Raw genomic sequence first — 26,213 nt, 5'->3', positions numbered from 1 at the left:
CCATCCCGGACGGGGCGGCTGGCCGGGCGGGGGGCTGACCCCCCAACCTCCCTCCCGGACGGGGCGGCTGGCCGGGTGGGGGGCTGACCCCCCCACCTCCCTCCCGGACGGGGCGGCTGGCCGGGCAGAGGGGCTCCTCACTTCCCAGTAGGGGCGGCCGGGCAGAGGCGCCCCTCACCTCCCGGACGGGGCGGCTGGCCGGGCAGGGGGGCCGACCCCCCCCACCTCCCTCCCAGACAGGGCGGCTGGCCGGGTGGGGGGGCGACCCCCCCACCTTCCTCCCGGACAGGGCGCTGGCCGGGCGGGGGGCCGACCCCCCCACCTCCCTCCCGGACGGGGCGGCTGGCCGGGCAGAGGGGCTCCTCACTTCCCAGTAGGGGCGGCCGGGCAGAGGCGCCCCTCACCTCCCCGACGGGGCGGCTGGCTGGGCAGGGGGGCTGATCCCCCCCCACCTCCCTCCCAGACGGGGCGGCTGGCCGGGCAGGGGGCTGACCCCCCCACCTCCCTCCCGGACGGGGCGGCTGGCCGGGCAGAGGGCTCCTCACTTCCCAGTAGGGGCGGCCGGGCAGAGGCGCCCCTCACCTCCCGGACGGGGCGGCTGGCCGGGCAGGGGGGCCGACCCCCCCCCACCTCCCTCCCGGACGGGGCGGCTGGCCGGGCAGAGGGGCTCCTCACTTCCCAGTAGGGGCGGCCGGGCAGAGGCGCCCCTCACCTCCCGGACGGGGCGGCTGGCCGGGCAGGATCCTGTTGATCTGTGACCTTACCCCCAACCCTGTGCTCTCTGAAACATGTGCTGTGTCCACTCAGGGTTGAATGGATTAAGGGCGGTGCAAGATGTGCTTTGTTAAACAGATGCTTGAAGGCAGCATGCTCGTTAAGAGTCATCACCAATCCCTAATCTCAAGTAATCAGGGACACAAACACTGCGGAAGGCCGCAGGGTCCTCTGCCTAGGAAAACCAGAGACCTTTGTTCACTTGTTTATCTGCTGACCTTCCCTCCACTATTGTCCCATGACCCTGCCAAATCCCCCTCTGTGAGAAACACCCAAGAATTATCAATAAAAAAATAAATTAAAAAAAAAAAAAAAAAAAAAAAAAAAAAGAATGGACTTTCCCAGGCCAGCTGTGGTGGCTCACGACTGTAATCCCAGCACTGTGGCAGGCCAAGGCGGGCAGATCACCTGAGATCAGGAGTTCAAGACCAGCCTGACCAACACGGAGAAACCCCGTCTCTACTAAAAATAAAAAAAATTAGCTGGGCGTGGTGGTGCATGCCTGTAATCCCAGCTACTTGGGAGGCTGAGGCAGGAGAATTGCTTGAACCCAGGAGGCAGAGGTTGTTGTGAGCTGAGATTGCACCATTGCACTCCAGCCTGGGCAACAAGAGGGAAACTCCATCAAAAAAAAAAAAAAAAAAAGGACTTTCTCAAAGAAAATGTATTTAAATGTCTGCACCAATAATTCCAGCATGTGTATGAATAAATGATATGTCCTTTAAAAAAATAAAAAAATAAAAAAATAAAAATAAAAAAAAATAAATATTTTTTCTATGAAATTTGGCCTATGGGGCCGGGCGCAGTGGCTCATGCCGGTAATCCCAGCACTTTGGGAGGCTGAGGTGGGCAGGTCATGAGGTCAGGAGATGGAGACCATCCTGGCCAACATGGTGAAACCCCGTCTCTACTAAAAATACAAAAAAAATTAACTGGGCATGGTGGTGTGCGCTGTAGGTAATCCCAGCTACTTGGGAGGCTGAGGCAGGAGAATCGCTTGAACTCTGGAGTTGGAGGTTGCAGTGAGCTGAGATCGTGCCACAGCACTCCAGCCTGGTGACAGAACAAGACTGCATCTCAAAAAAAAAAAAAGAAATTTGGCCTACAGGAAAATTATGTATTTTTTATAAGATAGAACCAACCTGTTATGTATGACAGCAGTCTATTAAAATCAGTAATTTGTTATTCTAGTTTATATACCAATCTCTTATAAGCTTTAGATAATGAGGGTCCAGCTTTGAGTGATGGGCCTGATCTCACTGTGTGGACATAATCAAGGTTTTCAACCTCTAAAACTGAGGTAAACTAAACTTACATTTGAATTGGCCATCAATCAATAGTCACTAAGAATGACAGCTGTGTTTCATTTCACTTTACTTTATATATGTTTATGAATGGAGGCATTAATAAACCCTACCAACTGTATCCAGATTTATTTAATCCTAGAGATAAAGGATGAATGGAAGCGTGTCTATAACACACTGCTTCTCCTGTCCTAATTTAATCATTTATTTCCAGTTTCTATAAGAGTTCTTTTGGACATTCCATCAGCAGCTCTATTTCACCATGTTTCACAGAAGCCAACATGTTCCATTGGAAATCTCGTACTCACTGTAACTGTTATTTACATGATCATCTTTCTAATTACACGGGCTTAAAATCAGAGTTACCTTTTAGCTTTTCCTTAACAGATCATGAGATATCGGAGACAGACAGATGTAGGTTCTATGACTACAGGTAATTTCTTTCACATCTCTCAGCCTTTATTTCTTTGGGTATAAAATGAGGATAATGACACAGCACTTACAGTATTGCTGTGAAGTAAAAAAAATGAGATGATGTCTGCATAAAGCTGAAGACAGTGCTGGCTGAAAAGGAAGGCTCAATAAATGCTCAAAGAAACCGGGAGTACATTATAATCTTGATATAACTGGGAAGCCACGTGTGCCACAGTTATGCCAGGAAGATAGCTGACATTTTTCTTTATCAAAATAAGAAATTGTGAAATGTCTGTGGAATGGTGCCTTGAGAATAACAGGCAGGAAGATTGTGAGCATAACACTGGTTTACGTCAGGTATCATTCTCTGCAGATGCTGCAAACATTGGGTGGATATTTATCTCTACATAAAATTGGACAAGATTCACCACTGAATGTAGAGAAAAACTGAATGAAAAGTGTCACCATGTTTAAATCATAAGTCTCCAAATAGAAATGATTTTGAATTTGTCATATGGCACGTTGATTCCAACCTTGTAACCCCAAACTGTTTTAGATATTTCAAAGCAGTCGCACGACATGTTAGAGCTGAATGGAATCTCAGATGTCATCTGAATTTTTTCACTTACAGTTGAGGTTGATGAGAATTAGTAAGGCTCAATCAGTAGTCACCCTGTTGTTAATGACAGTGCCTAAGCTGAGACTTGCTCTCGTCCCTCCTGAGTCAATGGTCTTTCCTTGCATTATTCCACTCGGTCTCCTAAACCTGACATTGAATGTCAATAACCATATTTCTTGCATCTCTCCCTATTCAATTTTATTCTAGGGTCCACTGGTATTTTCTTGACTCTAAATACAATGTAATAATATGGTATACATTTAAAGACCAAGATCTCAAACATGGAGGTCGAACAAGAAACATGTTCAAGTAATAACTTCCACATCTTCATGGTCGGATATTTTTATCCATTAAAAAATATTACTCTTTAAAAAGATTCAGGTCTACTAAGTATTGATTATGTATTTTTAAAATTGACTTTATTCCCAAGAAACATATATCATATAATAATACATATAAGATTTGAAATGACTAGTGATCTTGGAAAATAGTACACTTTTGCGTGAGGTATAGGTCAATTTGATAATAACAAATTTCTGTTCACAATATCTCCTTGTGTTAAGTAGCTACTAAAATTATAATGACATTAGAAATCGTGTATATGAGAATTTTTCCTTCCACACAGAAAGCCAAGGTGTTAATTGAATACAAAATTGATCAAAGTGATTTTTAGTAGGAAAAGAATCATGAGAACCAAAAAAGATAGATTACTATAACTATCATTCACAATTTCTTTCAGGTTTTATATATTTATTGCTCATTTACTCAAATACATGCTAATAGCTTTAAATCTTCTGTGCTGTGGTAACTTTATGATCCATGGTTCTTGCCATTAAGACAAATATTTTGATTTTTAGAAAATAGAATTACCTCCATATATTTTCTCTATGCACACTGTACTATCATCTGAGCTGTCAAGAGATTTTGAAATTTAGTAAACTCTCATGACTTACAGCCAGATACTCTAATTTTCCACACGAGAAAGCTGAGACCCTGAGGGCTAGGTTAATTTGTGGCAGGGTTATAACTACTATTAGATCTACTAGCTCAATATTCTTTGAGGATGCCATGTTGACTGTCTGTATAGTTTTTGATCTCTAGATTTATTCCTGAATAGGTTTTATTCAGTATTTCATTTCTTTATTTTTGTTCAACTCTATATCACTTTCATGGGAAAATCTTTGGCAAGGGAAAAAAAACTGTTAAGCAACCAAAATAAAATCTAACTATAGTAATCCCAACAAAATCCTCTATTGTGACAAATTTGAAAGGAAGAACTCAGAATAGTGATGTCATTTAATTGGGTAAACCATTAACAGTTTTTCTGTTTACCTCCATAATTTTGTTTCATCATCTCCACTTGGAAGGTTTTCTCTCTAGGGCTTAGCCCATTTCTACCCATCCTTTGAGACCAAGGTCAACTAGTACCTTCTCAATTACGCTTGCCTCAATTTTATAGTAATAAATTGTTTCTAAAGTTTTCCAGCACATTTTTAACCACTCATACACTGGTACTTATATATGCCTACCACACACTACATGGCATTTTAATTAAATAAATATGACTTGTTCCCCTTTCGCCTGAATTTTAGACTCGTTTGAAGGCAAGGATTACATCGTATATATCCCCTCTCCCTCACAATCATAACTACCCTGATGTTGTAGATGTTCTGAATAAAAGAGGCAGCTGTCACGTTTAAAGGGGAGGAGCAATCTGATAAATTTAAGTATAGCAGATTTGTCTCAACCATTCATAGTTTATATAAAGTAGTTACAGTAAATTGGTATATCCTTCTAAGGTTTCAAAGTAAGATAAGTATTCTATATTATCCATATGAAAATTATAAACCCTTTACATTCCATTCTTAAATGGAATGTATTCCATTTAAGCTTCATTGAAGCTGCTAAAAGATAAAACGCATGCCCTTAAAAAGGTGGGAAGGACAAGCAAGAGACATTATATGGAACTAACTTAAATGAGAAAGAGCGTGATAATTTTTTCCTAGGCTTCATGTTTGAGGCAGGAAGAAAAGCACCGTGAGACTAGCAGTGCAACCATACAGAGGTGGCCAGTACCTCTGACGGTGGAGCCCATACTGTCAGCAATCTGCCCAGGCATCCTTAGGAATCACCTTCACAGGACGAAACCAGCTATTGGGAAACACCTGTGACACCAACTGGAGTCAGCCCCATCAGAACGTTAATGCTGCAGGAAGAAGCCCTCAACCAATGATGGGTGCGGAGTTGGTAGGTGACTATTCCAGTGGTTTGGGCTTGTTTAGGATAACTCTAGGAGTATATTCTACCATGTCTCCAGGATGCCCTATCATTCAGAGCTCCAATTGTGCACAATGGCAGCTTGCTTTATATCACAGCTTTGTGCTACCTTCTCTTCCTCTTACTTCCTCAATCCTATACTATTAATTCCTGGGATGCACAGCTCATTTGCACTCAAATTTTTTTTTTTTTTTTTTTTATCACAGCGTGTTCTTCCAAGGGCAACAAAGACAGTATATTTTGTTTGTGATGCATTTCAGATAAAAATTTTGTGGCTATTTCTATTAAAAATGCTCATTTTGAAAAATCTCCTTTTGGTCTTATAAGTCTTTTTTAATACTCACAGTCTGTAAAGCCCCTCATGGGCTAACATGTTTCTTATCTAAGTTAGAGTCCAGAGTTGGCTCTTTTTGACATTTATAGATGACCCCATAGATTATGTCACTCACATGGCCTTCCGATTACAGGTAACGGCAATTCTATAGCCTGATAAACCATAGTTCAGGCTCAAACCGGAAATTTGACAAATCGAAATATGATGTATAAAATGTACTAATGCTGCAAAATTTGATTCATGAACAGAAAATAATCGGCCCTACTAGATATGCAAATTACTTTTTTGTGAATATCAAAAATCTGGGTTGGGAAAGCTTTTTAAAATTGTATCATGTTACATTTTAGGTGAGTGCTGATTCAAGAAAGATTTTATCATACAACTGCAAATTATAGTTAGGTTATCAGACTAATTGGAATAATGTTTTCGTGTATAAGTCTTTTAGATTTTATAAATATGCTACTTGAAAATTGGCTTTCCAGTTTAAAAAATGCATATCTCGTAACCATACTAAGACAGTATATTCCCTCTCATTTGTAGACAATAGATGTATATTTTCTTTCATTCATTAACTGCATACATTTGTTCATTCAAAAACATGAGCTCAGTACCTAATATCGCCGGCATTCTGCTAACAAGGAAATAGGCATGGTCTATGTCATTCAGAGTTTTATAATCTAGTGGATTTTTAAAATTGACCTTCCTATCACAAATGCTGAGGAAATACAAATGTCAAATTTTACTTTAGTTATCTAAGAGATTTTATGGGAATATATATTAAACTTGAGTAAATATAGCTTTTAGGCAAAAAAATATGAAATGTTATCGAGATAGTTGTTCATAGATTTATGAAAGATCTTGCCATTAAGAACAAAGTTATAGCAGAGGTATTTTATACCTTGGGCATTTATTAAAATAACAAGAGATCTTTGTATTTATTTTGTCCTGAAACATTAATTGCAACAGATTTATGAATGACCTAATTCTATATTAAGCTATAGCAATAAAAACTTTATTGCAACACTTGTTATGAGAAATATGACATAAAATTTTAAAAAGCAATTCTCAAATATTGTGTTTATTGTCTCTGCCTTGAAAGGTATATTTTCCCATGATTAGCATGCCTATGTAATTTTAAGCACTTCTCCAGTTTATGTTAAATTGTATGTTTAATAATTTAGGAAAGCACAAAAGCCACGATAAGAATTCAGAAACAATATCTATTCTATTCCCCCAAAAGATCCATGAATCTATTAAAATAAGTGTTTATACTTTTTACCATCCCAGAGTTCATTCAAAGTATGTTAAATCACTAAATTTATAATGCACAGGGCTATAGCTCTTCAGATCTTCGGAAATGCTGGTTGCTTTCTTAATTTAAACTCACTAAGCATAGGAAATAACAATATATTTGTTTTCTTACAGGTAATTTTTAACCTTTACAAAATCTCATATGCTCTAATTTAAGAAACTCTAAAATCCCATCTGCCACTACAATCTTCCAGGAAAAGAAATAGGATGAAATATAATTTGTGAACCTTAAATAATTCAATAATGTTATCTGATCAATTTTATTGGAAAAAATGAAAACACAGTTTAAGGGAAATGCTGATTTTAAAGTTCTTAAGGGTTTGAATGTTTATATTAATGAATGTTAATTCAGTGTTTATATTAATACATAGTGTCTGTTACATATAACAAGAAAAGTCTAAATGGGTTCTAAATAGATGCAAATAATGTAAATATGTAGATGAAGAAAGTTAACAAAGGATAGGAATACTGCTTATTTTCTTTGCTCTTCAGAGTCTATATTCCAGGAGTCAGCCATGGCAGATTATCACTCAGTCAATGTTAGCTAAAAGAACTTCTAGGTAAGAGGAAGTAGCGAATGGAGAGGGAATAAACTAATAATGGGAAATTGCATGCAAAATGCTCCATAAATAAAAATGTTTTATCAATTTGAAGTTTTATCCAATAAGAAGCATGCATGTCTCTCTTGATGTAAGTCATAGAATAAATGTGGTTTTACTGTATGAATTCATAAGAGATTAGACATAACCTTTTAAATGTTTTTTCATAAACCCAATATTCTTTATGCATTTACTCATTTAGAGGAGGTCTGGATATTTGATTCCTAAATAAAGATGTTTCCTGTTTACGTTTGTAGATCTTTGCCTTATTGAGTTGGTAGAACAAAAGACAAAGGAACTGCAGAAGATTTAAATCAACTATTTTATTTGTTCAGGAGGGAGGAGTCAAAGGACCACCTAGAGTGAGACATGGGTTGATTGATGTATGTGTTACTCTAGGGGACCCACTGCAACCATCTTTCGTTTATATCTTTACAGCTGGAAAAACACTTTCTATAAACCGTTCCAGCTTCCATGCTACCAGGGGTGATATATAATGATGTTTTTCCAGACATGAAAATGGACTGAGAGAATAAGTATCTTACTGACTTATATAAAGCCAGAAAGTGGGGGAGACAAGACTCTGAATTCACTTTCCCGACTGCTTCTGACATGCAGCTTCTCAAAAAGCAGGCACTTGTTTAGAAATACACATTTGTGTGTGAGTATATGTGTGTGTGAGTGTGCGCACATAGGAGTGTGCCCATCAAGTACTTTATTATTGGACACGAATGGCATCACTAGGTCCCATAGTGTCCGAGGGTACCACAAATTAGAGTAGGAAGTTGAGATGAAAAAATCCTGACTACAGAAGAAGAGCTTAGCCGAAAAGAGCAATCTTGCTCTGTGTTCTTTTTCTAAATTGATCTTATTTCTGAGCTTTGAATTACAGCAACACTGATGAGTCTCAAATCTGTACCACTAGATCTGATTAAGCTTAAATTCTCTATTTCCGTGTGTTTACCAGTTATTACCATGTTTTCTGCTATCACTTCACATGTTTGAAAGAGCCCCATCTGTTTTCTTCTCTGTCCCCAAACTGACTTCACTCCAACTTATCTATTTTCTCTGATTACCTCGTTATGCAATCATTTAAATCTGATATTTTATCCATCAACAGTCCCCTGAAAACTGACAAGTTCAATCTTTTCCCCGTTTTTTCTTCTATTGTCTTAGATTTGCTCCCGATCATCACAAATTTCTATTCTTTCCCCCTCCTCTACCTCCTCTATTCCATTCATCTAATTCATTTTAAAGGGCATAAAGATTTTACAAAAATATAAATTTTATTTTTTCCTCTACTCTCTTTTTCCTCCAACTATTCCTCCTGCTCCATTTTAATATTCTCTTTTTTCTCTGTCATCTTCTTCCTCTCTGAAGTCATCATTATCATCATCCTTTTCATTTCCATCACCCTCATCAATATTCACTGATCTTGTATTATATGATAAATTCTCTGCTGAAAATCTCACATACGTGACCTCATTTAAACCTCACAACTATTATGTAGGTCAAAATTGATATTGCTATTGTTCGAAAGATGCTCAGATGCTGAGATTAATAATGCATTCATTTTTACATAGACAAATACTGACAGTGTGACTCCACTAGCTCATCATGGCATCTTGTTTCATCACTGCTGCTCAGCAAAACCTTCTAAAAATGTCCTTCATAGAAAACAGAATTTTCTTCATAGAGAATTCTTCTTCAAAGAGCCATTAAATTCCTCTTCCTCCAGAGATAAGAACTCTTATCAGACTTCTTGTTCTTGTGATATATAATTTTTTATCATTTCTTTTTGCCCAAAATGCTAATTTTGGCCTGTAATTGTATATTTTCATCTGCTTTGAATATTCTTTCTTTTAAGCCTCCTACAGAATAGAGATTATTATCTAAGCTTCCATCTATTCCTGGGTGCCAAGAGGAGGGCTTGCTCATAGCAGGTGCTCAATATACACAGGTTGGGCACACCAGCAGGCTTCCCCCAGTTCACAAACACAATCACTGAACAGTAAGTAGTTGAATAATGATCGTTTTCATCGAAGTCTCTCTCCGTGGGTATGCCATCACCTGGAGGCATTCTGTGTTTCTTTGCCCCCTGTACATGTCAATCATTTCTCTTAAATGCTGATTAAAAATTATCCCTTCAAAAATCCCTTCCCTTGATAAACTTGCTTTGTATCAATACAGCATTTGTTCTGTTTGCAGAACTATTTGTGTTTCACACCTTTTTAACCTTTTATCCATGTTTATATACTTTGATTACCAACGCTACTGAAAATATTTGAAGGTAGGAAACATGCTTTATTTCTCATGAAAAATACGTAGTTTTATGCCCTACATATGCTCATTAATTTTTCTTAAAAAGCCTCTACACCTATTCTTACCTATAGAAGAAGCATAACTGACACAGAGCCCTAAAAGTATAAGTTGTATTAGTCATGATACGTTTTAAACTCTACATAAAGCATATGAAATATTGTATATCTTTTTGTATGTCTTTTCTTCTTAAGTTATGCATAGGTTTATATGTTGAGCTTTTTTTTTTTCTTTTGAGACAGTCTCACTCTGTCACCCAGGCTGGAGTGCAGTGGCACAATCTTGGCTTACTGCAACCTTCGTGTCCTGGATTCAAGTGATTCTCCTGCCTCAGCCTCCTGAGTAGCTGGAATTACAGGTGTGCACCACCACACCAACCTAATTTTTTGTATTTCAGTAGAGGCGGGGTTTCACCATGTTGGCCAGGCTGGTCTCGAACTCCTGACTTCAAATGATGCACCCACCTTGCCCTCCCAAAGTTCTGGGATTACAGGTGTGAGCCACCGCATCTGGCCTGTAGCAAACTTCAACTGAGCATCTACTATATGCAAAGAGCTGTGTATTCCTGTGGGATAAAGGCCTAAAACTTGTCCTGAAGGATTATCTGCTTGATTGTGGAGTATAAAACCAGCACATGGATTGGTAGGAGCAAAGAAGAAAAACAATTAAGTGCCAATGACAACATAAAAGGATGTTAGCGTTCCTTAGCATGCTGTATGCATTGTGGCAGCAGCAAGTACATCGAGAAAATTGTGTGTTGCAGGAACAATTTTTGCAAGGCCTTTAAAGATTTCTAAGGTCGTATCAATTCTCAGAACACATTTTGAAATAGACAAATGAAACAAGTCACTTAACTTTTTTTTTTTTCCAATTTGAATTTCGGATTTTGAAAGCCATGCAACTTTTGTTTAGGATTTACAGCATTTTCCATATATTTAACCTCTTTTTATATAGTGTGTTTGCTATTGTTCTAGTATTGTTTCATGTGTATAATATATGAGAAATAAGGTTGTAAATATTCTAAGGGCAGGAACCATATCATATACTTTTTTTTTTTTTTTTTTTTTTTTTTTTTTGAGACTCGCTCTGTCGCCCAGGCTGGAGTGCAGTGGCGGGATCTCGGCTCACTGCAAGCTCCGCCTCCCGGGTTCACGCCATTCTCCTGCCTCAGCCTCCCGAGTAGCTGGGACTACAGGCGCCCGCCACTACGCCCGGCTAATTTTTTGTATTTTTAGTAGAGACGGGGTTTCACCGTTTTAGCCGGGATGGTCTCGATCTCCTGATCTCGTGATCCGCCCGCCTCGGCCTCCCAAAGTGCTGGGATTACAGGCGTGAGCCACCGCGCCCGGCCCATATACTTCTTTTATGTCCCTCACAATCCCAAGTAGAATGCTATGCACATAACCCTCTTCTCTCAAAGTGTGATTCACCTGCATTCGAGTCATCTAATGTGGTGTTCAACTTCCAGGTGACTAATGCCAACATCCAGGTGACTAATCTCCATTCCAGACCGCATGAATCAGAAGGAATTACAATTCCTAGTAAGAACCTCAAGTAATTTTCAAGGAACATGAATGTATGAGAGCCACGAATAGAAAAGGTGTTAAGAACACGCTTGTTTTCTTTCTTTTTTTGTTCTTTTTGAGACAGGGTCTCATTCTTTTACCCAGGCTGGAGTGCAGTAGTGCACTCATAGCTCATTGCAGCCTGGAACTCCTGGACTCAAGAGATCCTCCTGTCTCAGCCTCCCGAGTAGCTGAGACTACAGGCATGGGCCACCACACCTAGCTAACTTTTTATTTGTTGTAGATAGGGGGGTCTCGCTATGTTACCCATACTGGTCTTAAACTTCTGGCCTCAGGTGATTTTTCCACCTCAGCCTCCCAAACTGTAATTACAGGCATGAGCCACCACACCCAGCCCTCAGAACACACTTATTGTGTCATGCAACAAAATGATATTGCTCAAACGTTCAAAACCCTTGTCTTGACAATCTACTAATTAGCATTTGTTTCAAACCGAGCATTTGCAAAAACATTTCTATTTTGAAGGATTTACAAACTTATGCTGGAAAGGCTGTCTCAAAATTTAACCTACATATTTCTAGGCAAAGACAGTGAAGTGAAGCAAGAAAACAAGGGAAGACAAGTGAACAAAAGATTCTAATTCTGTGTGTTATGCTAAAACCCCTAACTCGTTCCCATCATGGTCCTCAACCCCACGCCAGAACATAGTATAGAGGAACACGGATGAGTTCATAACATTCTGAGAATTTTCATCAAAACTTGTATTTCCAATTTGAAGAGATGTGGACTAAGAATAAGTATGCAGTCTTAGAAAATTCAAAGAAAAATTTTGAGAGAGGAAGCCCTGAGGTATCTCCCAAGGACCTCAGCACAAATGGAAAAAACTAACATAGGTTTCTCAGATATTATGTTATCTTAGGGTGTGTGTATAGAGGGAAAGGAGGATAAGTCAAAACCAGTCACAGTGGGACATACTATTGAGCAAGCAAAGCTGCCCTGCGAGAACTCATTGATAATATCTGGAAGAGAGAGCAGAGTCCAAGTATCTACTAGCCAGGCCTGGACTCAGCCCCGGTGTGGATCTTCTCCACCAAATTTACATGCCTGCAGACCAGAAAAAATGGTTGGAAAATAATATCCAGACCTCAAATAGGAACTAGAGCTGGGAAACAAACTGTTCTCCAAAAACAAGTCTCAGTGAAAAATATGCTTAGTCTGTATCACGTTAACCAGAAAGCCTGGATACAGCTGCTGTTCTAATGTGTAAGCAGGAAATACCCTGACAGATCTAGCCCAGCACAGTACAAACGAAAGAAGATCAAGTGGCAGGGTTGAAAGAACTGAAAGGAGGAGGAAAGACAAGGGAGAGAGGGAGAAGAGAAGAGGGTGATAAAACACCCACAATTGAGATGAATTATTTATTTTGAAATTTCAAAAAGAACATAAATTATCCAGATGAGCTTCAAGCTCTGGAAAAGTTTTAAAAATACAAATTTAATAAGACATTGTTAACAGATAAGACAAAATGACAGAAGATCAAAAGGGAGATTGCAAGCCCAGAAAATAAGCAAACAAAAATCTTTATATATCTTAATTTATTAAAATGGTGGACTTCATTGGAACTACCTCAGAAATTTTAAAAATGCCAATGTCTTGGATGCCTCAGAATTTATTAATGTAACAGCTCTGGGATGTAACCTGTCCTTGAGACTTTTAAAACTTCTACAGGCAATCCTAATGTTCAGGCAGGATTGAGAATTATTGAATTAGAAACACAAACCTATGATAGACATGCATGAAAACTCAAATAATGGGAAAAATAATTGTTTAACAATTCATAAATAAAGAGAAAAAAGCTAAAGATATTACATCAACTAGCAATTTATGCTATACACAGAAAACAAAGAGTCTCTAACATAAAGACTACTGGTATCTCTGAAGTGGAGACACTAAAAGAAAGAAAACTGTAATCAAAAATATAATAAATTAACATTTTCATAAAGTCAAGAAACAAGTGAGTCTGCAGATCAGAATTACACATTACACCAGGAAAGTTTTATATAGAAACATCAACATCAAGAAATCTACCAAATAATCATTCAACTTTAAGAACTAATAAAGAAATTTTAGGCATTCTTCAGAAAAAAAGAAAAAAAAAAAACACCACCCACAAATGATGGGATGCCCATAGGGGCTGGAAGAGAAGAATCAGATTTTCGTTCGAGTTCACCATAGCCTTTCAGTAACTGAAGATCGTGAAGCCATATGTAAGGTTGGAAAGCATAATGCACAAATACTATAGCCAACTAAAATCAGGGGCAACAGTAATTAGGTTTTCTCAAACATAAAAAGAAAAAACACAAAGAGGAAACACAGCACCCATGAAGTATTCTTGAAAAACTGTCACTCATGAAATCAAGACCACTACCTTGAGACTGGCTGTGCGCATTGACCCCACCTAGGCGTCAAAGGCTAAAGAACTGAAGAAAGTATGGAGGTGGAAAAGCATATGTCATTTTAAAATTAGCCGGGGGTGGTGGCGGGCGCGATGGCAGGCGCCTGTAGTCCCAGCTACTCTGGAGGCTGAGGCAGGAGAATGGCGTGAACCCGGGAGGCGGAGCTTGCAGTGAGCCGAGATGGCGCCACTGCACTCCAGCCTGGGCAACAGAGCAAGACTCTGTCTCAAAAAATAAAAAATAAAAAAAGTATATGCCATTTTAATCAGCAAAAATAATAATGAAATTAAAGCTGTAAAGTGATAGACAGTAATTTTTCTTTTTTTCTTTTTTGTTTGTTTTAAGACAGAGTCTCATTTTGTAGCCAGGCTGGAGTGCAGTGGGGGGAATCTCAGCTCACTGCAACCTCCACCTCCCAGGTTCAAGTGATTCCCATGCCTCAACCTCCCGAGTAGCTGGGACTACCGGCACGTACATCTGGCAAATATTTTGTATTTGTTAGTAGAGACGGGGTTTCACCATGTTGGCCAGGCTGGTCTCAAAACTCCTGATCTCAAGTGATCCGCCAGCTTTACTCTCCCAAACTGCTGGGATTAGAGGCCTGAGCCATCGCGCCCGGCCTAGAGAGTAAATATTTTAAGCTTTGTGAGCCAAACAGTCTCTGTCAAAACTTCTCAACCTGGCAACAGTTTTGGCAAAAAGCAGCCAGAGACAATCTGTGTGGCTATGTTCAAATACAACTTTATTCTATAAACGCTGCAATTCATTTTTACATACTTTTTAATGTATCATATAGTATTATTTTAAAAAAGAAAACTTTCAACCATTCAAAAATGATGAAACCATTCTTTTTTCACAGGCTTTTCCAGAATGGGAAAATTGGCCAAATTTGACTCATGTGTCGTAGTTTGGCAACCTCTGTTCTAGACCAAGGTTTCTCATCTTCAGCACAATTCACATCTTGGGATGGATCATGCTTTGTCGTAGAAACTGTCCTGGGCATTGATAATGCATTTTAGCAACCTCCCTGGCCTCTAATCAGTACGTGCCAATAGCACCCCTTAGACCTTGCCAAATGTGTACTGGTTGAGGACCATTACTAACCCAGTATGTACTGGGTGTAAGTAATCTCACATGTAAACTTTATTAACAGAGAATTCAGAGGGATTTTTCACTCTATGTGAACACTGACTTCATTAGGGCATATTATAATTACTTTTGCTGCCATTTTAACATTCAGATAAATGTTAAGATAAATTCCACATTTTTGTCATCACTTAAATCAACGTCAAGTCAATCTTTCAATCTATATATTTTTTAAGAGATTCCATTCACATTGCCTTTTTTGGCATATCAACATAAATAGAAATTGGATATGTAGAATCATTTAAAATACGAAAGCAAAGGGTATAAATGTCTTCTAGCAAAGCCTTTGGTAATGTCTCCTTTGTGAGTAGAGCAATTCCTGTCAATAATAGCTTAAGGTGGAAACTTATGAAGAGAAAATGGCTTAAGCATTATCAGATCTAAATTTTAGTGGCTTTCTGATATATTCAGCAAACAGGATTCTAAGTAAAACTTTATCTGCTTGGTGCAGTCAAAAAATGTAAGCACGTAAAGAAGATTCTCTCTCAATGAAGTAATTTAAGTAAAAACACCTGATGAAATATAAAGCTATGAAAGCAAAGGCTGACATTTGCACGTATGTATGTGTGTGTATGTATATTTCCAAGAGTGAATTTCTGTGTGTTCCTCGTGGTTCCAACTGACTTGGGCAACACAATTAGCACTAAATAAGTGCTTGTTAGTTGGCATAATACACATTGCAATATTAACAGTTCAGATGACTTTTCCTTTTCTTTCATTTTTATCATTACTTATAAATAACATTTTAAATGAGCTTTACATTTCAATGTTAATCCAATCATTTGTGAATAAATTAATGATTTTATTCATACGTTCAATTAGTATCAATTAGTTTTGGCTACTGTGCTTAGTATTGGTGACTACCATGAAGTATAGAGAAAAATTACCATCCTACAGAACTTACATTCTATCAGCAGAGTTATTGTGATGTCACTGTAGAAGTCTTCAGATTTCAGATCAGTAGTAAATATTACTTAAAAATAGCAACCACCTCCTCTTCTGTCTCTTCTGTTTTCCCTTTATACTTTCATTCCATGTACCAAAATGAAATACTCCAATTTTTTTTTCCTCCTTTCTTCCCTAGCTACTGGAGACACATTCACTCTTCTGTTTGGTGATCAAGGGATTATCAGTGTTTAGGGTTACATGAGGTTCTACATGCCCTATTGATGAGAACTGCAGTACCAACATAGTAAAATTCATGAGAAAAAAATCCAGTCAGTATTATGTGATGCTAAACTATGCCAGCTTCAGAACATATTTCCCTTTTAAATAAATAGTCCTCATATTGTGAACATGATTTCTACAGCTTGCTCTAAGGAGACGTTTTCTCCAGGGCAAGCTAGAATCCATATGAATATTTTATATATAACTTACAGAATTAAGAACATCACTCAGTAGTTCTCCAGAATTTTAGAGTAATTGAGGTCAACATGGAATCCTCTGGATGAGGGAATCTACCCACAAGCAGGAAAATGCAACAGAAAATAAATGAAGAAACATGGTTCATCGGACAGTGAAAATCAATGATGGGGAAATGGACCATTTTTGCCTCAGACATTTTTCACTGCTCACTGAGTCCAGTTCACCTGCTTGTGGTTGTTAACTTGGCAATTCTTCTACTTTGGTAAGTCTTTTGGTGTTAATTATGACCACCTGCTGTCAACTACTCATGAGGCAACTAAACTCTGGTTGTTTTGGTGGATAAGAGACATCAGTTTTTGAATTTCAAGGAGTTTTTTTCTAGCAATATTTCTGTGAATTAGTATGGAGAAAAAATCTTAGAAAATAAATTTTCAAATACATATTTTGATCATCTTAATGCATCAGATTGCTTTAGTAATGAACTGTTTTCAGGACATTTTACACGATGTTCTTCTCTCATGTCAATAATGAAAGATACTATCCATTTTAGTCTTAATTTCCTATAATGACTTTTGCCACATTTCTCCTTCAGGAAGCAGGTGTTATAGGCTGAGATGTTTGACAACCAATTGTGACACTGACTATAACACTTTTTTTAGAAGAGATGGCCTAGTTATATATTATTCCGGAGTAAGGTCTGTAAAGGTTCTTTATAGCAGAGGACATTTACTTGCTAAGAATCAATTTTGTATAAACCAGGTAAAGTGGGATTATGAAGTCTTCAGAGTCTCTTATGAAGTCTTCAGAATCCCTATCATTTTCTGTATATTAACCTTTAAGAACATATACTGTCTGGAACATAATGGTGAGGAAAGAGTTGCTAAGATGTTTAATGTACTTAAGAAATGTTTGCTTGCAACCCTTGAGGACTCCCATGTAGAAACTTCTCAGTTATCCAGATTTGTTCTCTAGTCTTAGACTCTAAAACTATCACTCAGTAGGCACCGGAGGAGGGGATGTTATCTGTTTCTCTTCCCATGACACACTCATTATGAGGCAAGGCCTAGCGTTATATTTATCTTCCCTCGAGAAATGCTTGTAAGTAACATGGATGAGAGCTTTTCAGGTCTTGTATTGAGATTTGAAGGTGCTATTATTTCACAACAGCCCAAGGAGCAGCCTTAGGGAAGTAACCCAGGGCGAAGTGTCACGGTCTACTTTTTAAGTTAACAAAACTCCAGCTTCATGGAGCTCCCTCCAAGATGTCTCCAGAGTTCTTACTGCCCCAGGGTCTCAGCATCACTCTTGTGGGTAGTCTTTCATCCATAGTAAACCTAAGAGTACCACTGAGTTTAGAATCAAGATACTTTTCCCATGTATTTTACAGAATAGTGACATTGATTGTGGTTCTCCGTCGGGATGAGTAAGCATTCAAAGGTAATTAAGTCAAGAAGCTAAATATGTTATTTTTATTCTGTCTTCATTTATGTTCTTAAATGATTTTTGGGATTACAACCTTAAGAATAACCAAAATTTTTTATTTTTTCCAATTCTCCTAAAGTTTTTAGGTTGATTTTAAAAAGGAAGGCATATAATAATAAATAATTTTAAGATACATATTTTCATAGAATCAAACATTTATTGAGTACCTGGAATGTGTTGGCATTATAGACATAACGTATATTTGTTCAAAAATTTTCCTTACCATTCTGTAGCCTATGATCTATTTAAGAATAAAGAGAATATGTACAGCACAGGGCAAGTCCCTAATGAGTGACTCTGATGATTGGACAGAATGTCAGGGAATAGCATGCTCACCTTGCATCTGTTCACTGAAGAGATGAGGTTGAACAGTTTTTAGACCAATAGAATGTTTGAAGTTGAGTATTTGACATAAAAGAAACATTTACTAAGATATTCGCCTCAGTACTTCACACTTACCATAGAAATGAAAATTTGAAATAGCTGAATCAGCTTCTAAACATTTCCTCATTAATCAGGAACAAATAATTTGATTACAGGAGTAAGTATGTGAGAGCTATGCCTGATTCTGGATCTCTGCTGTTAGATTTGATAATCTGAAAATTCAAGTCAGTGATCACTTTGCTGGGAGAAAGTATTCATTCGAATGAAGAAACAGAACTCATTGAAATAGACTGTTAGAATTACTATTAGAAACATAAACAGAATTCAGATGTCAAGAACTGGGGAGAGTTTGAGACTTTACTATACTTGCAAGCTAACAGGTTAGACTGCCACAGTTTAATGAGTGCTGGCAAAAGACAGGAGGCTTCTAGGTCAGAAGTAAAGAACAGTTGATTATTCATATGAACAGCAGCAGCTAGTGTTTCAGCATTTGAATTGGTTCCCTGAACCCAGGGTGGGAGCAAACGGGGCCATGTGACACCTTCTCATGCAATGGATTGTGTTACTGGAGAGGAATCCTCAACCTAGAAAACCTGAATCTTCTATATAGGAAATAAACAACCTGCATTCTGCTCCAAATGGAGGAATTACCTCTGTTTTCAAAACCATTCACTATATAAAAACCTTGAAAGAATAATCCAGAAAAAAGACAGTTGATATCTCTGCTCATAAGACATGCAGTGACACAATAAATCCATGAAGATTTCTCTCAAAATCAAATTAATAATTAACATTTATAAGCATCATCTCCTTAAGCATTTCACATGTGTTAATGGAATATGAATAAGCAGCCTATGAGGTCACTGTGGTTTTTCACATTTAAAAGTTACTTGTCTTTATGGACACCGGTGGAAAATTGAAGCAAAGAGATTTCAGCAACTATCCCAAAAGTTAAACAACTTTGCATTGTTGAAACTAAGCTGAGAGCCTGTTCTCATTACTATCAGTTTCATCTGATGAAATGCATCTCCTGCCACCATAGATACTAGTCATGTAGCCACGGGTGACTCACATAATTCATACAGGTTAAACTAGAAGATGGAAAACTAGGGCTCTGCTTGAAAAAAGAATAGGATTATCTATTTACTTGCATTCAGATCTGCCTCTGTGGTTTTCCAACGCAGAATATAATGCCTGCTCCAAGTTTCCAGAATTCAAGTACAATATTGTCTTTAGGCTTTCTTAATGAGCCCTGGTAACACAATATTGAACGTCAGGAAACCTGGGTTCTAGTCTGACTATATTATTACATAAAAATATTTTCTCCATCTTGGGTCTGAGATTTCTTACATGTGATACAAACGGTGTTCTCTAAAATCATTTTAAGTCTACATTCAAAGAGATTGTGTATCTCTCCTGATTCTAATATTTAAAATAATTCTGTCACTATGACAATGTTAGATGCTTAGTAGGCTATCTGAAATATTAACTATATTAAGGAACAAAGCCTTTTGAGCACAAGAAAGAGAATTCCCGTGGTCATGCTAATTGACCAGAAGGCTCCCAAGCTGAGCTTGGGTATAGCTTCAGAATTCCTTCAGAATTTCAGGCAGCTACTGGATATTGATTAGAATTGTTCTGTAAGATAAAAGTACTTTCTGCCCCCTTTGGAAGACATTCTAGATCAACACTCTTGAATTACCAAACTTAATAGAACAGTTCTGAAGAAATGGAATGATTTTCTGTTCACTTATTTTTTTTTAATGGGGAAGTTCTGGGATGAAGACGACTGTGGCTCCCTTGAAGGAACTTAAGAGTCAACTGTGAAAGAAGACATATGAGTCAAATCATGTGATATAGTGAGTTAAATGCTATAACATGGATATTTATAATTAGCGGAGATGATCAAAAGAAGGGAGACATCAAATGTGCTTAGCAGAAGACTTCAGAGGAGAAAAATTACATAGGAGAGTTTATTAATTGGCCTAAGGAAGAGAGTATTTCAACCACAGAAAATATATCAGAGGAAAACAGCAAGTTGGATAATTTCATATGCCTGGTATGGAGATGACAAAGCCAGCAAGGAACAAAGATGAGGCCTGGTCCATGGTGAGGACTTGCATGCCATCAGTACTATAGGAAATGGCAAATAAGTGGTATTTTTAGAAACAAAGAGTAACATAACCACATTTTGATTTTGTAACACTTATTCTGCCTGGTAACATGATGAAAGATATTTTAAAAAGGATAGAAACAGAGCCTGGGAACTAATTAAGAGATTATTATGAGGCCGGGTGTGGTGATTCACATCTGTAATCCCAGCACATTGGGAGGCCAAGACAGGAGGATCACTTGAGGCTGGGAGTTCAAGACCACCCTGGGCAACAAGCATGACCACATCTCTACAAAAAAAATAAATAAAATTAAAAACAGCAACAATATTTAGTTGGGTGTGGTGGCACATGCCTTGTAGTCTTAGCTACTCAGGAGACTGAGGAGGCAAAATTGCTTGAGCCCAAGAGGTCAGGACTGCAGTAACCTGTAATAATGCCACTACACTCAGTCTGGGTGACAGAGTGGGACCCTGCCTCAAAAAAAAAAAAAAAAAAAAAAAAAAAGGTTATTGTAACCATCTAGGAGGGAGATGCATGGAGTTTGACCTTGGGCAGAAGTAATAGGAATGAAGAGTGCATGGCTGAGAATCATTTAAGCACCCTAGGTTCCTAGCGGACACTGGGAAAGGAAGGAGAGAGGAATTGAGGATGACAAATTTCTGTCACTAGTAACAGAGTGTTTGGTAGAATTACCAATGAGGAGACAGCATAAAGCAAAAGGATAAAATCTGAGACCCAAGTTAAGGAGAAACATGACAAACTCGATTTTGGATATGTCCGTATTAAGATATTGAGAACCCACCAAGAAGACATAGCTGACAGAAAAATGGATTTGCAGATCTGAGCTCTGATAGGAGTTTCATACTACAGAATTGCTTCCCAAAAATAATAGTTTTAAGGTTAAGAACTAGGAAGTGTATTTTCTAAATTCCAAAGGAAAGCAGTATTTCAAGAAGTAAGGAGTGTTGAGAAATTAATAGAAGGAGAAAATACCCCACCTGGGAGTTAGCAAAAATTCCCTGGTGATCTTAGCCAGAACTGGGTTTTTTTCTGGAGTTTTGGTGAAGAGGTGAAGTTTGGAATGGGCAGGAGATTGAATAAAAGTGAATATTGTGGTCCACTAGAGCTACATTTAAATTGGGATGGTTTGTGATGAAACCAACAGAAATCCAGCTCAAAATAGCTTTTGGATGAGGAGAGTTATGATGTTACCTAACAGGAATTTAGAGGCAATGTAGGCTCTGGCATTACTTAATTCAGCATTTCAGTGTAACCAGGGCATTTCTCTTTGAGCTTTGCCCTCTTCACCAAGCCTCATCCTAAAACTGATTCTCTAATGGCTTGAAGGCAGATTATAGGAACAAGGTTTTATTTACTTATATTTCAGAAAGAGATGGAGAGAAGCTGAGATGGAGAGAAGCTGATACACCAGCATGGACTATACACTGGGTTCTTCCATTTTTTAAAAGCAAACTTTAAAGACATATCTACCCTGGTCCAATAACAATAACTAGAGAAAATTCAAGTGCTGTTAGAGAGAATCCACCTCTGAGGTTGGGTCCAGTGGAGAGCTGAACAAAATTACAGTTCCATCAGTAAAAAGGAGGGATCACAACATGCTGGGGAGGCGACCAAGAGTGTCCATTTTAAGCGATGAAGGGGAGAAAAAACCGATCCCTAGTGAAAGGGGAAAAATACACAAGTCACTGGATATTGCGCTGTGTTTTGTTCTTTTCCCCATGGTTGTTTTGTGAGATTTGAGCAATGTTTCTGCATGAAGAAATGTGTCAAGGAGGGGGAGGTTGAAGGTGGAATAGAGATAGTGTGATCTCTGGAATAAAGCCTCCGGGCTGACAGGGCCTGACGGGGTGCATAGCACAGCAGAGATCTCCAATGAGGAGGAGGGACTGATGGGCACGCAGATGTATTTAAGGTTTGGGGGAAAGTTGGGAATGATGTTGTGAAATTCCTGACCCCTGATGGCCTTTATTTTTCCTGTAAAGCAGAAAGGGGCAATAGCCATTTGGGAAGAGTGATGGGCAAATGGGTACTAAGCAATAATAAAAAAAAAAAAAGTTCTCTTTGCTTCCACTTGTAATCTGTCTTCCAGCTCTAAGTCTGAGTGTCAGTGTGACACCCTTCACCTTCCCGCCATGCTCTTTGGCCCACCCTGTCTCACAGTTTTTCTCTTGGGCCACTTTGGTGCGATCAGCTTGAATCCTGCGCCCTTCCCTGCCTGCTTTAGCGCCTTCTGCCTCCTCTAATTTCCTGCTCTTTGTCCCCTTTGATTTCCCTCTGGGGCTTTCTGCTCACATCCATATTTCTCCACTGTCTTCTGTCACGACCTTCAACCCCCTTGTCTGAGAGAAAGCTGAAGATCCCATTTGAAGAGGTTGAAAATAATCTTATTTTATACAAAATAGCTTACTACAAAGAAAAAAAATGGTGGAGGGAGGCTGGCTTTAAGACAGACAAAAATGCCATCAAAATAACTTTTCTCAGTGTTTTTGTTATAGCTCTATTATTATTTAGCACTTGAGAAATAATGCCTTTATACTAAAGAATGGTGAGACATTTATTGGCACAAATTAAAATAGATCAAAATAAAATTTCATGTCAAAATAATGTATTTAGTGATTATAGCACTAGGTAAGTATCTAATGCTCTCATTTTCCCCATCAGTTCATAACTTTAGATTTACTCAAAATGAATGGCAATCCATGCTAGTAATTTCCTCATTTGCCTAAAGTATTTACTAGTAGTAGAGTAAAATCTTTGACTATTCTCCATAGGTTTTTCATTTGGGCAAATACTACTTTCAATATGACATTATAGAAACAGCTGGATATTTCAGTTCATAAAGTGTTTTTGAAATAGACAAAAGAGTAAATTTTGGAGTGGGCCCATTTTGCTCTCTTTTTATAGGAAATGGACATAGACTTATTCTCCTTTCACTGGTAGCATGACCTACATAAATTGTGTGTGGCTGTGATTTTCTCATTTTCCCCAGTGAGACGGAAAAAGTTCCCCTCCCCCATTGCCCTCCTGCTGCCACAAAAGGGGAAAAAATGATCACAGGAGCTTTGAATACAATTTTTTTGAGCTTGTTTTTTTTCCTCACCTTAGGTGACCAGATCGATAGACCATCCAGCAGCTGAGAAAATATCAGATGACTGGCATACAGCCAGAGGCAGTTTCTGTTGTGCAGTGAGAGTCCATTCTGATATCACAAAATTGGAAATAAATGGTATATAAGGAGATACTCATATCTCAATAAATTTTAAAAGGAAATGCAGACGTCAAAATGTGTCATAGTAACACTAATGTCAGAATTCCTTTTCCACAAAAATCCAATATAATAACACAGAGTTTCCAAGGCCATGAGAGGTTTCCCATATTTAAAAGTTATTTGTCTGTGTGAATGGTTATTAATATACAATACCTGCCATGTGGTCAATGCTACTCTATTGGGCTATGATAAAGATGGCTGCTCCCATGCCTAACCTTTTTACAACAAGTGGCTTATGTACACTGGGTATCAAAATGGAACATCTACCATAAAAACCAGTATGTTGCAACACAGTTTTTCTTCTTCCCTTCCTGTCTGCATAAGAGACTTAGTTCATGAAACTTAACTAACTCTCAGAAAGGGGAGGGGACTGATATGTCTAACCTTCTTCTCCATTCCAGAAACCTTTTTCCCCCATTCCAGTATCCATTTATTTAAGAGCATTTGTTGAGCTTCTAGATTAGATAAGGCATCACAGAAACAAACAAACAAATGAACAACAACAACAAAAATAATCACAAAATCTCAGGGAGGTAGGAATATTAAAGCCAGCTTCTGGGCCCAGAATATGCATCTATATCTTATTCATTTGACTTTTACTAGTTTGTTTTAGTTTTTTAAAAACTAAGTTGTTACTTTTCTGGAAAGTCTTAGTTGACATCATTGCCATTGCCCTTCTAAAAAATTCTGTGAAAAGTGTCTTCCTTACATGTTTTTATGTTTTGATTTTACCATAATTTGTAGGGAAAATAATAATAATAGCAACAGCAATCAACATGTATTGTTCAATACTTCATGTATAGCAGTAAGTACTCTATTTGCACTATTTCATTTAATGCTGGCAACAACCACTTCTTCGGTGAGACTGCCACTCAGTTCTCTGTGGAGATGATAGCAATTCATGGGACTCAGAGTGTCCCCTGTGAGGTGAGCCTTTCTCAGCTGCCTCAACACTGCAAACCGTTCCAGGAATGGCGGCATTGTCAAGGAGGCCTCAGCTCATGCATTTGGTCACCACATCAAACCCTGGAGGAAAAATGAGTGGCTAAGCCCTTACACTTTCCAATGTGAGCTGACTAGCCACCTTCCTGTAAATATAAGAGTCTCTCAGGACTGTGCTATGATACCTTAAGTCCCTGTTTAGCTCAGTTACATTAAAAAGGTTTTCCAAATTTATTCAGCTACTTTGATCACTCTTTAGAATTCATCCTTCTAGAACTTGTAGGCATTAAGGAAGGGATTACTAGTTACTGAATGCCGATTACAGGTATTGTTTTATTTAATATTCATATCTACCCTGTGAAATAATGCTAGTATCTTCGTTTTATATAAAAGGAACTGAGGCACAGTGGGATAAAGCACCTTGTCCAGGATTCACAACAGAAAATGGTTGTGAGCAGGATTCACGCCAGCACTGTCTTGACTCCACAGCTGTTGCTGTCTTTACCATTACATACCCCTCAGCTTTCCCATGCAACAAGGCTGGCAATGCCTTCAAATGTACTCATAGAATGAATGTAAGTTGCAGGCCCCGTGCCTAGACTCACCATACGAGGAGAAGTTCCTTGAAGGCAGAGAATGTCTGGTGCTTCACTGATCTATGCCTATAGTTCTGCAGGCAGACGGTAGCCCGTACATATCCATGACTCCCTGACAAACCAGCAATAGCTTTCCTGTGGTTTACATCAATTCACTTGAATTTAAAATTCCAGGGAAAGAAAATGTGGCCCTTCCCAGAAATCCTTGAAGTATGCTAACTCCAGTAACTTCTATATATCATTAAGAAAGAGTGTGTTTTATGGACTGAAATTTGAAAACAATTGAGCATCTGGTAAAAAGTGTAGGATACTAAGTTCAAAAATTCTAGAACAAAACCTAACTTCACAAGAACTAGTAATTATATGCCTACATTTCCTAAAATGGCAAATATACTGTTTTTTTGTATGCATCATAAAGATATTGCAAATTAACATTGCATACATAGATATATCCACTGTACCTGACTTGACTATGTCCTTGAATAGAAAAAGGACTCATTTTCTAATTTTTCTCATATTTAATACTAAATGTTCTATATTATATATGTGTATAATGTGTACACATATATTAAAATAAATATATATAGATATGTGTATATCATAATGATAAACAGGTCTGTTCCAAAGGATATACCTATTTGAAATTTACATCTAATGCTTTTTTAATGATCTGAAGTAGACAGTTACAGTATTTTTCTGTTATGAAGAATGATTTTAAGAATATCTCCACAATGTGCATTCATCAGACAATTTAAAATGTTGTTAATAAGCAATTAAAGTATCTTTGGTATTTAGATGCTGAATCCATTTGTCGAAGATAAGTTCATCTTAATGTTTTAGAGTGTGCATTATATCTACCTCATTCTTATTCCAGGAACTATGCCAAAATTCTCTCTTCAAAGAAGAAAAATAAGAGGCATAAATATTGGCTTGAAATACGATAGAATGCAAGAACTTTTGCT

The 26,213-nt window shown here is 38.2% G+C and overlaps 1 long non-coding RNA gene across 1 annotated transcript, besides 1 other annotated feature; it reads left to right on the top strand.

Annotated features, from left to right (window-relative positions):
* Positions 10,971-12,170: an enhancer, noted in NCBI's record as "P300/CBP strongly-dependent group 1 enhancer chr4:181854290-181855489 (GRCh37/hg19 assembly coordinates)". NCBI's record gives its function as "activates an origin of replication core promoter dependent on BRD2, BRD4, P300/CBP, MED14 and CDK7 cofactors, with strong dependence on P300/CBP, by STARR-seq in HCT116 cells {active_cell/tissue: HCT116}" and the evidence as "EXISTENCE:reporter gene assay evidence [ECO:0000049][PMID:35650434]".
* LOC124900821 (uncharacterized) lies at positions 16,623-26,212 on the top strand. The gene is made up of 3 exons (XR_007058399.1): positions 16,623-16,706; positions 23,551-23,671; positions 26,126-26,212. It is a non-coding gene; the product is annotated as an uncharacterized LOC124900821 (long non-coding RNA).
* The last annotated feature ends 1 nt before the right edge of the window (position 26,213 follows it).

Source organism: Homo sapiens, chromosome 4 (genome assembly GCF_000001405.40).
Source record: "Homo sapiens chromosome 4, GRCh38.p14 Primary Assembly".
Taxonomy (NCBI): Eukaryota; Metazoa; Chordata; class Mammalia; order Primates; family Hominidae; genus Homo; species Homo sapiens.
This window is presented reverse-complemented; position numbering and strand designations above follow the sequence as displayed.